At 36.1% G+C, this 17,814-nt stretch overlaps 1 protein-coding gene across 10 annotated transcripts in view; it reads right to left on the bottom strand.

Annotated features, from left to right (window-relative positions):
• DST (dystonin) overlaps positions 1-17,814 on the bottom strand; it is a 496,835-nt gene that overhangs the window by 50,453 nt on the left and 428,568 nt on the right. For all 10 annotated transcript variants that reach the window (NM_001144769.5, NM_001374722.1, NM_001374736.1 and 7 more), the window contains 6 exons: positions 9,053-9,172; positions 8,750-8,857; positions 7,002-7,220; positions 2,749-2,952; positions 1,194-1,425; positions 81-307 (listed from right to left, as the gene is read on the bottom strand). In NM_001144769.5, the coding sequence (NP_001138241.1) occupies positions 81-307; positions 1,194-1,425; positions 2,749-2,952; positions 7,002-7,220; positions 8,750-8,857; positions 9,053-9,172 (1,110 nt within the window). The remainder of the gene's footprint in view (positions 1-80; positions 308-1,193; positions 1,426-2,748; positions 2,953-7,001; positions 7,221-8,749; positions 8,858-9,052; positions 9,173-17,814) is intronic.

The raw sequence follows: 17,814 nt of genomic DNA on the forward strand, positions 1-17,814 counted from the left end.
TCCTAACATTTACCCAAGGAATCTGGATTTCATTATGCCACAACTTATTTTTCTAACTTTAAATGAGATTTTCTGCTTACCTCTGCTGCTTCTTGCTGTTGTTTTACTACTGAAGGATCAATTCCAGGATCTTCCAGGTCCCGGATGAAATCTTGAGTATCTTTAATGGTAACTATCAATGACATGTGATCACACCAGAACTTTTCTGCTAGCTCCATCACATCCAGTAGTTTGGCTTCCCTCTCTTCCACCAGTGTGTGTATGTTCTCCCAAATGAAAACCATTTGGTCAAGCTTATCCTGAACAGCTATGAAGCAAAACAATATCCACAAGGCGACTGGTTAGCCCCACGTAACCAACAAAGCAGAATGTTATAGTTCACACAGAAAGTAGTGATCCAATTTGCTAAGTATCTAAAACTGGACCAAGTTTTGAATGACCCCAGTCCAGTGGATATCAGTGGGTCCAAGAGTCTATGCCAAATAACATAATATCTCTGGGTCTGCTATTCTTGCCAAACCAAGGTTCTTCCTGACAAAAGTGAGCTCAGAGTAGAACCAAGTTTATCAAGTTTCAAGTTCATTAAGGCTATCCTTAATCCCAAAGGGAGTGAAATAATCACCTAGGTACACTTTTATGCTCCCCAAATCAAGAGTAAAATTGTCCGTTCAGTCCCAGGAATGTAACAATGTATGGTATGTACTTTGGGCTTGCTTCTAGAGTACTCTCATTGTGAATTTCCACTACGCACATGCTCTCCCTTTTGACCCTCAGCTCGTATCTCAAAGATGGCTGGCTGTGGTAGTGGTTCCCATTTTTGTGGCTATGTGATGCAGGATCCATGCTATGTAAGGTAGCAGAGTCAGTAATGAGGAAAAAACCCCAGATATGGCCTTATTAGCAATATGCTTCAACCTACTGATTTAAAAGGCCTGAATACACATGGTCTTTGAACATATGGTCTTTATACATGGTCTATGTATAATGGCACGCTTTGTATTCAACCAAATAATTTCACAAACACAGGAAGACATTAACAAGGGATTTGCATACACAGCCCTTCAACCCTAAACACATCACATTTGTAGTATCTTTTTTAAGATGCGGCATTTTGTTATCCAATTGGACGGTGAGTAAACCGCATAAACATTTAGAATGCTTTAAAATTTGTTTCCCTATTCCAAAAGTATTACCTTTGGCAGATATGTCTTTATCAGTCCCCCCAGATCTAGCAATCATTTCCTCTCCCCTCTGTTTAAGAGTTTCATACAACGGCTGTAGCTTTTCCATGTCTACTGACACATTCTTATTTTCACTGATCTGTTCCTTGATCTTCTCAACCTCTGCAGAGATAGAGGGTGGCTGCCTCAGACGTTCCACGATGCGTTCCAGGCTCTCAAGGATCTGATCTATCTTGTCATGGAACTAGGGGCAAAACAAAGAGATCTTTTATGGAAAAAAGATCTGTAATACCAAGTGTGAAATTTAAATGAAAAAACATTTTTTACAATTTAATGTCAGAATTAAGAATAAATCTTAGCCTCTTTATCAACAGACCCATTCAAAAGTTACATCCACCTGGTGTGTGAAGACATGCCTAAAATCATGAAGTATATGCACCTCTGTCACACTACCTATGTACAATAGACTTAGTTTCTTATGAATATTTGAGTGTATCCATTAAGAAATGGTATATATTAATATGTAATTGGACCAGGACGACATGGCAGCAATGTCTCTTTACCTGCTGCTTCATCCTGTTATCATAATTCAAATTAATTTTAAAAATCAAGTTCAATAAGCTGAGTATTTGTCTATTACAATGGATTGTTTACTTCATTTTTAATGAACTATTATGGCATCCTGAAAAGTTATATTATTTAATGTGAAATTCATGGGAAGTTTTGATTAGATTCCAGGGAATCCTTAAGTTATGCATTTCCTGAATTGAAAAATGTTAAAAAAAATTTTAACAAAAAACCTCCCCAATGTTGTAACTTCTGATATAACAGAAGTTACAAGTGTCAGAAGTTTTTATTTACTTCATGGTTAAACACATAATCAGACACATGAGAGAATGTAAAATTTTTATTTGTAAAGGTTCCATAGACAATTAAGCAAAGCTATAAAAACTTGTTCATTCACATCTATGAATGAACTTTGTTCTATACTATCTCAAAGTTAAAGGAATAATCACACAGGATTGTGACACTGGCCCACTCTAATGTGCCATATCTAATAATGAAAACCAAATCTTGAAAATGGAAAATCTTTGGGTATTTCAAAATTCAACTTCTTGAAAAAAGATATTTTCAGAAAAGAAAAAACCATCAATATCCAACTTTATATTCTTTTTCTTTTCATTTAGCCTATCATTCTTTCTTCTCATTGCCTTCTTGAGAGTACTTTATTAATAATTATAACACTTTCCTTTATCTCCCCCAATGGCAAATATTACATTCTACTCAGGATGGACACTGAATTAAATATTCAGACAATGATGACAACTGCACGTTTCTTAAGTCATTGAAAATTATTTGTATTATATCTATAAGCAGGCAGAGAAAGATAAGGAGATAAAGGCTGGATGCAAGCAAACATCACCTCTGAGGGACACAGACATCAATACTCAAGAGTGAATGTGGTGAAATAATTTTAGTTAAAATTTAATCAGGAAATCCAGGAAAATGTCTTTCTGTGCTCTGTTGTCTGCAAGAACCCAATTCTATATCTAGTGTAAACAATTACCTGAGTTGATTGAGAAATGGCTTCATCCAGTGCCACAGCACGCTTTTTGACATCTTCTTTAATTTGACTGTAAAGGGTGTCGGCTGCCACATACTTCTCTTGGATAGAAAAGCCTTCCCCAGGGCTCAATTCCAGTAACTGTGGCCCAGTTTTGTTCATCTTATCTATATGAGGCTTGTGTTCAGCTATCAACTCACGCAGTTGCTATAACAAACCAAACAGCTTTTCAGTATCTCAGGGTCACACCTCCATATTACAGCTGTCTACACCTGCAATGCATCCAGCTGGCAAGAAACTCCAAACAAACCCCTCCCCATCACAAGGCATTTAACACATGATGGCTCATACAGCTCTTTGCCAGGAAGAGAAGGTCCTGACACAAAGATTAAACAACAGTCTGGTCACACCAAAGACCCTTTAGGGTACAAAGATGCTGGTTCAGTGAAATAATGAATCCCAGTTTATTATGCATCTCATACCAAGAGTAGCACATTTTGACAAGAGCATTAGCCTAGGGTCATATTATATAAAAGTATTCTGAACTCGCTATGTCCCCAACCTACAGACACCAAGTCATATCTGATGGTGTTCCTTTCTGCACACTCATGATATATACAAAAATAGAAGAAAGAAAAAGAGAGAGAGAGAGAGACAAGACGGGGGGAAGGAGGGAGAAGGGAAGGAAGAAAAAAGAATAGAAAGAAGCTCAATATAAGTTAGATGCAATGCTGAGACAAAACCTCAAGATAAGGAATGTTAGGGTGATGTAAGCCCACAAGGCATTGCATTTATATATGCGGACTGATATAAAATGAATGAACATGTATTACATTTTATATTTATGTATGAATCTATTCTATATATATATGATATATAGACACACATATGAATGAATCTATATTCATTATTTTAAAATATTAAAGGCTGCAAGGGCAATCTATCAATACACAGCTATATACTGAGCATTGTTTGTAAGGTATATTTAAGGAAAAACACATGTCATATGAATGTGCATAATTTTGCTAGCTAATCAAGAAATACAATGATATTTATACTAGTGCGTGGGTGTAGAATTCAAGTGGATCCCCATTCCCTTTAATAGAGAAGATGTGTTGGAAGCCTGAATAAAGCTAGAATACATACACCTCATGGATCCCATGGATTTCAATGAGCAGTTTTTCATGGGTCAAAACCAAAGCCACCCCCAGGGGGAAGATCTGCCTTTGCTTGCAGGTTTTTCTGAGGCTGGCCTCTGTGCAGCATTGAGGGGTCTTTCATTTGCACCACATTATTGATTAGGTTCCCTCATCAGCAGCTCTTTGTCCTCACCAGAATGTGTATCTCCAAACTCCAGCCCCTCACAAAAGCTTCTCTGGGGAATCTTACTTTCAGGAAAGATGGTCTAGAGATAAGCTACCAATCTTTTCCTGCAAACTCTAATTTCTATCAGTCACCAGGATGGCCACATACCTAGATTTTTATTGAAAGTGTCTACTAAAATCAATTATGAGCATTATTTTGAGAACCTGTTGAGGAATTACATCATTAACTATCACCAATGTAATAAAATGTTTTTGAAGGTTTTCAAAAGACTGCCTCAAAATAGTTTTAGAAAGGGCTAAATAAAGATGAATTCAATTTTAAAAGAAGGAAGAGTCTAATATAGCATGCTGCACATAAGAATGTGGGAGGGCCATGTTTGCAATCTAGCTCCTGGGCGTCCCAGGCCAAGTTTTTATTTTTATTTGGCATAATTAGGTATCTTCATGCTGCTTTACCGAATGGAGGTGGTGATGGTATATCAGCTATAGATAATCTCATGGAAAAGGAAAACTGAAGATGTTACATACGTTCTCCTGTCAATGTTCTTTCAGGAATGCTTGGAAAACAAGCTTTCACTCAAGAGTTATCAAGAGACTCTCAAATAAAATGCTACATCTCTGCTGATATTTCTGGAGTTCCTTTGGGTCTAGGTAGATCTCACCTGTATAGCATCACTATAAGGCAACTTGGCTTGGCAAGTAGTGAGAGGAGCCTTTTTTTTTTTTTTTAAGACAGAGTTTTGCTCTTGTTGCCCAGGCTGGAGTGCCGTGGCACGATCTTGGCTCACCACAACCTCCGCCTCCCAGGTTCAAGTGATTCTCCTGCCTCAGCATGCCAAGTAGCTGGGATTATAGGTATGCACCACCATGCCCAACTGATTTTGTATTTTTAGTAGAGATGGGGTTTCTCCATGTTGGTCAGGCTGGTCTCGAATTCCTGACCTCAGGTGGTCCACCTGCCTCGGCCTCCCAAACTGCTGGGATTACAGGCGTGAGTCACCACATCTGACTAATTTTGTATTTTTAGTAGAGGCAGGGTTTCTCCATGTTGGTCAGGCTGGTCTCAAACTCCCGACCTCAGGTGATCCACCTGCCTCGGCCTCCCAAAGTGCTGGGATTACAGGCATGAGCCACTGTGCCTGGCCGAGGAGCCTTTTTTAAACCCTTCTTAAACCATTCCATGACAGGCAAGAGAACACCTACCAGCCATCTACTCAGGTATGTGTGTGTATCAGAAAAGGGCCCAAAAGGAGATGCCTTTTGCCTTATATGTGACAAAATGATTCTTGGCACATGCTGTCATAGGAGTCCAGTCATGCTGGAGCTATCTGGTGTGACTTGATATCTATCATGTGGTAACATGGCCCTTGGAGCCATTTTTCATTCCTGGCTAGAATGAACTAGATTTTCCCCCAAAATACATGGAGAAGATGCTGTAGAGCTGGAAAAGAAATGCCATCCTAGGAGGCTACAAATATTCTGCAACAGCAAAGCTTTTAGTTTAAACAATTTGAAGATGTGGCTACAAAGTTTTGTACCTCCCTTTATACAGACAATCACAAATTTGTTTTGAGAGCTTAAAGATTATGCAAAAAGGCAAAAAAACTCAATTTTTAAAATTTCAGCTCAATAATGAGCCTTTCCATACTATTTGATGCTATGCTAAAAATGTGGCTATTCAAATCACCTCAGCATAGAAATCCATGAAACATTTTTCATTTAAAATAATTCAGTAAGTAGATATCAGATTTCTGCCACAAATAAATCTTTATACAAAAATTGAATTCTACATACTTGTCTTTCTCCTGCTGAATCATTTAGATAGAACTCCATAAGATTCCTGTTCTATATTAAATAAAGTTAAAGTGTGGTCTCTAAAACTCTCTTTTAAATAAATACTTCAGTATAGTCTTCAATGCCAATTCATTAAAAAGGTAAACAAACAAGATTAACAAGATGTCACATATTCCAAACAATGATGTAATAAACCCTGAATTGAACTTTTCCCTCCCTTTCTCTCTCTCCCTCTCTCCCTCCTTCTCTCTTGGGCACAGGCGTATACACACACACACACACACACACACACACACACACCCCCTCATGCGCATACACACACACATGCACACCATGATTAGTCTCAGAGTACATTCTGTACAGATCTGGAAGAGCAACTAGGTTCACAAGTCCATAAATAGCAAGAAATCTAGTTTTTTTCTGACAGTCTGGAATGCTCTCTCACATAAACCCTTACAAAATTTTAAGCCATATTAACAATTAAGTGACTGCTGAAAAGAGGGCTTTATGTGCCATTTCATACATGTTTAAAATGTGATGTAACTGTAGTTGTAAATGTGCTCCTCCTACTTTACCCATTTACACTTACAGGAACAAGAACTTCAAAGGAGTTCCATGTACCTAAGGTGAACAAAATAATCTGTCTTTATACTTCATCATTTTTCCTTTTCATAGCTTTCATAATATTGCTATTTTGACACATTCATTATATTACACATTTTCTCCAAACTCAATGGCCTTGTCTGTATAATGGTTCTCCCATATATTTCCACTCTGCATTTACATTCTAAATGTATAAATTTAAAACAATTCAATGTGTGTAAATTGAAAGCACTTCAAAAGCTTAATCCTATAACATTTTTAAATGGGAATTTTTTCTATCTAGATGATTTATACTGCATATTTTATAAAAGTTGTGATGTAATTAATGACATATACAACAAGTATATCCACATGAGTCTTCTCACTATAACCCTGTATAAGAAGCAATTATGAGGTAAGCAAATTACACAGACCAGAACACGGTATTCTAAAATGCCTTAATCATGTAAGTGTTTAACTGTACTAAAAACCACCATAAAAATCATGATTCTCTTTTAATGGGGAATACAATATTCTCTTTCACACCAGGCTTACCCGATGTTCTTCCTGCTGCTGCCTTAGAGTTTCATATTCAAGGGCTGGGGCGGGAAGCTGAGAGATGATTGATTGTGTTTCTGTCAGCCATGGCCAAAGTTCTTCATATGTTTCCCAGAATTGGTTAACCAGGGACTGTGCCCGTTCCAGCTGCAGATACCTTTCTGAATTAATCTGGCAGATGGTATCATAGTTCTTCAGTACCTTGTCCAGTTTTTTCTAGAAAATAAAAGGATGAAATGTTTAACTGGTCAGGCCAACGAGCACACACACTCCAGAGTGCTCTGTCCAGCACAGTACACCTGGACAGAGTGGGCGTTTGACAAATATATGTTAAATGAATACATCAGTAAAAGCTATTCAGATTTTAATGGTTTATACGTACAAAAGTTCACTTTAAATTAAAGTGCCTCAAGTTTTTATGAATAAGACACTGAGATCTCCAAAAACAATACACACAATTCTCCAGTCATTCTTACAATGGCTTCAAGATTAGAAAACAAGTCCCATATGATTCTGGCAACATATATTTTGCAGAAAAAAAATAAAGACCACTTTTTGCAAATGAAATTGTCAAAATTTTTAGTTAACAAAATTTAATTATATATATACACACACACATATATATGTGTATATGTGTATATATATGTGTGTGTGTATATATATATAGAAAGAGAGAGAGGGAGAGAGAGAGAGAGAAAGAGAAAGAGAGAAAGAGAAAGAGAAAGAAAGAGAAAGAGAAAGAGAAGGAGAAAGAGAAAGAGGAATCAAAGCAGAACATTTGCCATTGTGCTATACACGGATTTAATGGGGTAGTCACAGTGATCTAGATTATGGTATAAACTCATAGCAAAAACTAATAGCAGAAGAAGATAAAGCACAATCATAACTCAATAAACCACAGAATAACAAAGAAATTATTTCATAACAATCTGTATTTTTCACATCAGAGTCTTTATAAAAATAATATTCAATTATAAACAAGCAAATTGCCATTGTAGAGTATAAATAAATAAAAGAGTGCATATCATTACATTGTGCATCCTATTATTTTATCTGTGGTCTACCTTAAAAGCAATGCATACTCTTTAAAATATGATTTTAGGCATAGAGATTCCTATTTTTTTTGCCATGCATGGGATATCTTTCCTACCAGAAGCATGAATATGCATCAATTTCTTCAGGCTGCTTAGATGTCTGAATATGAATTGAACATTTTTATTTGTGGCTGGTTTTCTGCCAAATTAAAGGATAATTAAAACTACACAAGCTGAATGCTTCCTTAATTACTCAGATCATATTTTCCCTATATAGCTTACTGTAACTTTATACAAAATGGATTTCAGCATTAGAGAGAGCCACATATTTTGGTTTTTATTAAGAGGCCCAAATGTCTCTGAAGCACATAAACAATAGTTGATACATATAAAAAACAATAATTTATACTGATAATAATGGTAATAATACAGCTAACATTAACTGAATGCTTAATGCGTGCCAGTTAACCAAGGTCTCAAACCTTAATAGCCTTTGTGCCTATTCAAAAAGATTGTCCTCATAGTGATTCTCTTAAGAAATATTCCTTTCACTGTTATTCTATAAACTTGAAAAATGCCTTATTTAAACTAATTATTTTTGCTGCTTAAATGGCAGCTGTGGATAACGGAGAAGTGTTTTTCTAGGACTGAAAGCTCAACACCTGCTGTTTTTTCAAGAGTCCCACTACCAGTCCACAGACAAGATTATACCTTCATTGATTGCTTTTCCTCTTCACTGCATGCGGTCATGATTTTATGCCCAGATTTAACAAGGTCATCAATAATATCCTTGTGTCTCAAAATCTCCATGGTGAATGTCTGTGATTTACCAAAATAAAGACAAAAAATAAAACAAGAAATTGTATGACTAAAATGAAAACAATTAGGCTAAGTAGTTAAAAATATCACGTTACACTAGAGGGGTCTTAAAAAGTAAATCATACAAGCACATTTTATAGAGTTGGAGCACACCAGCAAATAATTCATATGGCAATTGGAAATGTATTTCTTCACCTTTTGAACTTGAAGCTGAGCAGAAGTCTGGTCTTGCTCAAGCCTGATGTCACCCAGAGACATCAATTTTTTTTCTGTTTCAGTAATCCAGGATAACTCAGCATCAGCTGCTTGGTCAAACTAAACAAAAGATAAATAATTAGGTCAGCACGTTCCCGTTCCTGATGCCAGAAAATACCTATCTACAGTTCTTTGAAATATCCTTATTACACAAGTGGAAAATCCGAGCTTGTCTCCTCATGGCATCCTAAAATAATTCGTGATAATGACTAAATTTTAAAGAAAGGAGAACTTTCCACAGAGTAATTAAACACAAGCTCTTAAAACATGCTGGATTTATAGCACTGCATTAATGATTTTAGGACAGCTAGCACTATTGCCTTCTTTTCAGGCAGTCTTAATAATTTGCACCTTAGGAGTACTGTCCAAATCTAACAGTTATGAAAGCCAACAGCCAGGTACCATCTTTTAATCATTTCACCCATCACTTCAACTCCTATGATATGCAACTAACATTCTGCTATCAAAGTACATAGTTCCAAGCAAAAAGAATAGAATATCCCCATTTATTTATTATACTATTATGTTTATAAATGCATGTGTAAATATACATCTCTATATATGCAGAGTATACCCCTAAATGATTCATGTATAATTTTTAAGCATCTCATTTAATAATGGCAGAAAACATTTTTAAGAGCATTCTTAAATATTTTAATAAATGTTATTTTCCTGATCATAACAGTAATTAAAACAGTAATTTATAAGCACAGTACAAATTCATAAAGCAGAGAAAAACATACAGAAGAAAATTAAAACCTAGATTTAACACTGCTGGTATTGTAGTGAATTTTCTTCCACAAATCAAGAGAGAAAGATTTGTAAAAAAAATGTCTGGGATGACACTGTATAAACAGCTTCATATCCTGCTTTTTCATTTAGTATGAACATTTCCCATGTCATACTCCTTTAAATGTGATTTTCAAATAATACCATTATATTCTAGCATACCTGGATTTTCGTTTAAGCTTTCTGCATTTTTGTTATTATACAAACAACCCTATAATGAATATATTTGTATATAAATTTCTGTTGGCATCTCTAGTTAGTTCCTTAGTGTAGATTCCTAGAAGTGACTATCAAGTCAAAGAGCACGAACATTTTCAATGTCTTCCATCGGATAAACCCCAGTGCCTCCCATGAATAAAATGGGCCTGTGACACCACAGTACCAACCATAAATGATCACTGAAATGACCTCAGTTGGAAGAATTAATGAGGAATGAACATTTTGGCTATTCAAGTCCAGTACTGCCAGATCTTCTAACTTTTCAAAGGAATCTGGAAATCCAGATGAGGTGGGAGAACAGGTAGGTGGGGAGAAAGATGGGTGGAGATAAGAAACTAGATTTTTAAAAATTCATACTTTAAAAACTCTGCAACACTATGCCAACTCATGGGAAGATGGAGTACATTAGCTTTTCTCTGTTCTTCGTGGTAAGTACACCTACAAATCCCAGGCATTATATATAAAACATACATAAGAAGATTCCACAAAGGGGAGAGAAGAGGACAGAACTACCATGGACCTTGGGCCACAAGGAAGAACACAGTGGTGAGTTCTCTGGGATTTTCTTTTTGCCTCACGTATCTAAGACTAAATACTGGAAAAACTAGCAACCACACAACACTAAACGGGTACAAAGTCCCAAAACAAGCCTGCTCTCTCTAGCCAAAGAACCAGGAAAGGAGTAGTTTAGCAAAACAGACAACTTTTAAACAATAACCACTCTATTCCAACCAAACACTACAGAAAAAATGGTTGCTCCACTCACACTCATGCCAAGAAAGGACAAATGGGGGGCCTACACTTCTATCCTTGCAATGCCATGACAAGGTCCCCAACACTCTTGCCGGGAGATGTTAGAGAATGCCAAGTAGGGAGCCAGAATTTTCATCCCCAGATCATCCTGTCAGTTGAGACCATGTGGGGAGGCTGGGCTTCCACCCCCACTAAGCAATAACGAACTGCCCCTCCCTCCACTCCTCTGGGGTGATATCAGAGAAGGCCTAGTGGAGAGTCAGGATCTTCATCATCACTCAGTGTGTCACCATCACAGCCACCTGCACTGTGGTACCAGTAGAGACCACATAGGGAGCTGGAACTCCCACTCCCACTCAGCAGAAATGACGAGCCATCTCCTAGGTGTCAACAGAGGTGGAATTGGGAACCTGGACTTCTATCTTCACCTGGTAGCACCCCCACCTTCTGCCAGAGTGGTAAGAGGAAGGCAGCTAAAACAGAAAGCTTAAGCTCTAACACTCATAAGATCATATAAGAGCCAGGAAAATCTCAAACTGAATTAAAGAAGATAATCAAATAGATGCCAATACCCAGATGGCAGACATGTTAGAATTACCTGACAATGATTTTAAAGCAGCCATGATAAAAATGCTTCAATGAGTACTTCTGAATGTTCACAGTTGAAACAAATGAGAAATTAGAAGGCTTCATCAACAACACAGAACATCTCAGCAAAGAAAAAGAATATACAGTATAAAGAAGAACCAAATGAAAATGTAGAACTGAAAAATGTAACTGAAATAAAAATCTCAGTGGATGAGCTCAATGAAGGGGACAGAAGAAAGAATCAGTGAAGGAAAAGAAATTACCACTTAGAAATAGAAATGGAAATTACCCAAACTGAATAATAGAAAATAACTTAAAAAATAATCAGAACTGCAGGTACCTGTGGAACTACAACAAAAGTCCTAATATTCATGTTATCAGAGTCCCAGAAGGAGAAGAGAAAGAGATTGTGACTGAAAAAATACTTGAACATTCTTGAAATAACATTATAGAAATGGAGAATAGCTTTGTGGTTGACAAAAGTTACGGAGGGTAGGGTGGGATGGAATGGGTATGGCTCACAGAGCAGCATGAAGAATTCTTGTGGTGAGGGGAATATTCTGTATCTTGACTGTATCAATGTCAATATGCTGCTTGTGATATTTTACTATAAAGATGTTACCACTGGGGAAAACTGAGTAGAGGATACAATGGGATCTCTCTGTATTGTTTCTACAGCTGCAGGTGAACTTAGAATTATCTTAAAACAAGTTTAATTTTAATAAGACATTGTATACGTGTATCAAAATAACTTATGTACCTCATAAATATACACATCTACTATGTGTCCATAAAAATTAAAAATTAAAAGAAAATATATTAAATAAAAAAAATTTTAAAAGAAAGAAAACCAACTCTGTGGGTAACGTCTCACCTATCAGTTCCTATTTGTGTTTTCTCTCTTCGATATAATACTGCCCAATTGCCCTTCAGGTAGAATGTGCTAATGTACACTCCCACAAGCAGTGTTTTGCTATAACTTCATAAACGTGGGGTATAATTTATTTTTTGATATTGAAAATTTAATATCGTCAAGTTTATAGGTAGACTTTCTGTAATTATAAGGAAACCAAGAAACCACTTAAAATAATCTATCTTAAGCTGGTTCAATAATTTCTGTGATATTATTTAATTTCAAATGAAGTTATTCATGAGCAATTATTGATCAATATGAAAACAAAAGAAAAACATTTCATCAACTAATTCAGCAGCTTCAGGTGTGGAGAAAGAATCCCCATGAAAAAGAAGTGAAAGTTAGTCTTCTGTGGATTCTTACTTTTCAAGGCATGTAAAGCTACAGGTAAAAATTGATTATGTGATTCATTTAAAGAATATAAGACTGAGAAAAACAGTTCAGGCCTTTCTACCTGAGTGTAAATACTGCAAGATATCTGAATAAAATTTAACAGTTATAAATTTTTTTCTTCCACTGGTTCCTGAAAAAAAAAATAAAGTAATACCCCAACCCTCTTGTTTGTGTTCAGCCTGACAGTATTTAAATGAGTGTCCTCATAAAGACAGTCAGGCTGTGAAATATTAATATTAGTTTAACACTATGTCTTCCCTATTTAAAAAAAAAAAAAAACTTTCCAGCAATAAACAGTATGGTGATACCATCTAAGTTGCCAAAAAAGGAAAGCTGAAATCCAAACAATGTTTCTTTGATCAAGTCAAACATTTGCTCTGCTAAGGAAAAAAAAAAAAAAAAAAAAAAAAGACTTCAAACAGATATTTCCCGCCTGTCATCTGAGAAACTTTTAAAATTAAATTATCAAATATTGTTAAGCAACAAAGGGAGTAGCTACAGGATCTACATTAAGTAATTTATAGTAAGGCGAGGCATTTTAGGTCTATGACTCACTCAAATGACTGGTTAACATTTCTAATGGAACATAAACATGGTCCATAAACATATTTCTAATGGACCATAAACATGGCTCACTTTATATGTAAGCAACATGGAGAGAAATACACTAGGTCAAATTTTAGTAAATTTGTTTACTACTCATACAAGTAAGTAAAATTTGACTTAACATAAAATGTTGATAATCTTGGCATCCATAATTGTATTTGGGGAAATACTTTAATAGCATCAGAGGAGCCGAACCACCAACTCTAGCTACTGTAACTTCTGTTTATAGTTGAATTAGCCTTTCAGGAATTTTCTAAAAGTTAGTGCAAGACATTTTAAGTAGCTACATCTAAATATGCCTGAAAAACACTCTCTAAAACAGTAACAGCCAGCATCCTACTGAGCACATTGTTCTAAGTGCTTAACATGCAATACCTCCTTTAATCCTGACAGCTGTATCATGTATTACCATTAACTCCATTTCCAGCTTAGAAAAATGAGGTAAAGGGAAGTTAACTAACTTACCAAAGACTACTCAGGTAGTAAATGCTGAGCCTGAGATTCTAACGAAGGTGGTCTGACTTCTAGACTGCCAAATATCACAACAGTCAATACACAATAGGTTTTAATAGAGGTTTAAGGCAAAGTGATAAGCAAACCTTAACCTCAAGGACATCCTTTTCACTCCCTTCCCCTTACTGGGGATCTTATCACTTTCTTTTGATTAGCATTTCCTTCCACTTTGCTTGTCTTTATTTATAACACAAGACATATTTTCCCATCCACAACACCTGGAGGGTCTGAACAAATCTCATTTCCGTAGGAGATGTTTCCTTCTGGTCCTTTAAAAGAAATAAACAGGTGATATTTTTCTCCAGGCTGATTCCTAATGACCCAATGAGTTGTTTGCATTAACTGCACCCAAACCACCAATCCAAGGGCCTTTCTAACAGGGTTATTATGGGGCCCACTTACATAAGCCAAGCAATTAGAACTGCTGAAGAAAGCTTGGGATTCCCAGACCCAGTAAGATATACATATTTTAGCAACTACTGACAGTTGTACATTATAAGAAGCAAAGGATGATGAATTGCTCTGAGGCTTAAAGAATCAAGGTAGTCTGAATTCAGAACCCAAGTCTGTACATTTTTCAAGTAAAAGTGCCTTTCTCCATTTCCACAAAGCTTGTAGAAAGAAAGCAACAAAGATATGCTACTCTGCGTAGGTTTAAAATGCAAAAATATGTACAGTTTATAACTCAGATAATGGCATGTATTGTAAAAGGGAGGCAGTTCAGCTCAACATCATTATTTACTAAGCTGCCTTGTCCCATTCAGATTCTTCCTAAAAGTAATGAATGGGCCCAACTACTTTAAAAAATAATACCCTTTTTAGAATATCAATGCCCGCAAATCTAGAGTCAGATTTGGGGGACTGGTGGGTGGTATCAGTGAATGTACAAGTTCTTACTCATTCACCCATTACTGAGGTTTTTCAATTATTTCTCAAATAATAACAAATACGGCCTTCACACCTATGTTATGAAAGTTCAATAGCGTATCTTTTCAAAACTGTTATTGTGATATAGGATTAACAAGAAAATCTAACCCTGTCAAATCAAAACTTTTTAAAAACCTAAATTTATACAAAGTGGTTACAAAGTATGTGCTAATGAGAAGGTATCTGTATGTTCCCTTCTGTTCTCCCTTCAAACTTTTAAGTCTTTTCCATGTTTTTCTTGACATCTTCCATGCTGATGATTAGAAGTCAATACATTCTGCGATTGTGGCTTGACAGTTCACAAAGTGCTTATGCTTTTGTTAAATTTCAAAAAGCAGGTTGACATTATAAAAGAGGTATATCTGTATATATGCAACCTTAAAACTGGGAAAAAATATGAAGTATCTTAAGAGATATTTCTGCTCAGAAAACAGAACACCTAGTCATTGAAAATCTAATTTAACTCTCCCTGATTTAACTGGGACAAATCATTAAATCTATAAATTTTAAAATTGTTAAGTATTATTCAAGACACATGTCCTTACCCCATCATGTGTGGCTGTTGGTAGGCTGGGGGCAGGGGTCTGGGGAAAGAGTCACTGTTAATAAAACAAATTGCATATGACTAAAGGTGTGTCTAAAAAGATGAGCTCAGGTCATATCGTGTCCCTATTTCATACAGAGAAGAGACTCAGAATGGTAATTTGTTTAAACAATGCAAAACAGATAGTCCAAAATACGTGGCTAATGTCCAGGTCTAAAGATATGCTTTTTTTAATCACTCCTTTTTATATTTCATGGATGTAGTTATTGGGTAAAACAGAAAACAAACATTTTTATCAAACTGTACTCTGGTCCTAATTCCAAACATCTATAAGTAGGCAACCTTATAAAATATTTCAGGGATATATTAGCTTCTTTATAAACTTGAAAATTATGAGTTTGGAAACTTATCTTTTAAGTGCAAAATCTCTGCCACACCAGGAAGACAGGTACCTACTACTCTATTCTTACGTTTCCCTACACGGTAATGTTTTATGATCCTTTTAGTGTTGTATCCTCATCCTCCACAGTCTTTACAGCTGGAAATATTTTCATTAGATACCTCCACTTTGTTGTAATAATGGAACCTTCGGATTATTGAAGAATTTTAGAAAAAAAATGGTTTACCACCCTCAAGGGTTTTTCTCTATATATAATTTATGAGGAGGCACAGCAGTGAGGGAGAATGAGATAGGGATTAAATTTTAGTTGCTACTCTGCCACTTACTGCTTGTGAGACCACATGCAAGTCACTTTATCCCATGCATGCTGGGCATGTTCCTCCCAGCTCTAAACATCTGTGTGTCTATGTAGCCTTATTGGAGGTATTTTCATTGGACAGACTTGCAGGTATTTCAAAGAAATGAAGATAAAAATACACACATGAACAACCAGAAGATATCAGTGGCATTAAGATGTGTAATCTGTTGGTAGTAAGACTTTTACTATATACATTGTCTTTCACTTTCAAAAGGATTTTACTATATAAATTCTCCTCCTCTTTCAAGACGAAGACTGGAAGGATACAGACCAAATTGCTTACATATGCTTTCTTTCATGAATTTTTCTATATTCTTTGAGAAAATCTTGAAATTTTAAATAAGGACTAATTCTATCAGAAAAAAAAAATCATTATTTTCCTAAAGGATTCCGGAAGACTTACACTGACTTACTTTCCCCCATGCCTTTGGAAAACATACGCAAAACCTTGAAGAACCTGGCCACAGTTAATGACCTTGGCATATATCAGAGATTACTAACCAACGAAAACTCAATCTGTGACTGTGCCCTTATTACTTCCTCACTTTACTGAACCAGCCAACCACAGTCAACTTCTCAAGAAATTCTTACTCCCAAGAGTACAGAATAATTTTCTTGCTGTTTAGAGAAGCCTTCAGTGCCAGTTGGGAAACGTTCAAATACATTTCAGTGAAAAAAATATATTTTTCAATAGTTAAATAAACTTCACAAATAAACACCCTCATTTTCCTATAAAAATGAGGCATACAAACTCCTCTGTTTAAACAGAGTCACACAAATACATTCCTCAAGCATGAATGCCCTCCTTCACAAAAATTTCTTAGCCAGGGCTTTTGCTATCACTGCATTTCATCAGCTGTTGTGATCCCAGAGCACAGCACTAAAATGAGGAGCAGAACATTATGCTTTAGAACTAACTATAAATTCCATTTCTATGGCAACATTAGAAAATTAATTCTGGATGCTCCCACAGAATCAGCTTGATTTATGCCTCTTGCTTTTGGCTCATACTAGTAAAAGCTTAGTCACACACCATCACAAGCTCTGCTCTAAAGTACAGTGCAATATCATACTACCCCCACACATAAACTTTGTAGTAACTGTGATGACTTAATATAAATATTCACAGAAATTTCAACTAAAGTTAATCAACACATGTATTATATTACGAACTTCTATCTCCAGGACCCCACTCATTGCCCACAGTCTTCCCAGGGAGCTGTGGCTAAGGGCTGAATGCCTATAAAACTCTTGGAGTATACATTCTGCAGGAGTTATAGACAAATTGGAACCTATCATCTTTTCCCCCCTTCTGTCATCTTCAGAAAAAAACTTCACATTACCAACAAAACTGCTTCCTTTTTAAAAAGAAAACATTCTCTTTGCCCCAGCTTTCTGTAAATGAACAGTTAATACTGACTTACATAACAATTCACAGTATTTACTCACATACAGATTAGACTTAGTCAATACATAAAAATTAATATCAGCAATATGCATATGTGTAGACAAAAGCATTTTGTTTGGAAAGCTGGGCTGATCTTCGCAGTGTCTGACTTGGTAAGGATAAATCTGTGAAACAATGAGGCAGATGGCTGTGAACAATGTGCAGATTAGCCTTGCCCTGGTGCTCAGACGTCGAAGAAGCCCAGTCAACTTCTTTTCAAATCCACTCTTTCATTTTGGAAGCACAGCAAAT

This window comes from Homo sapiens, chromosome 6 (genome assembly GCF_000001405.40).
Source record: "Homo sapiens chromosome 6, GRCh38.p14 Primary Assembly".
NCBI lineage: Eukaryota > Metazoa > Chordata > Mammalia > Primates > Hominidae > Homo > Homo sapiens.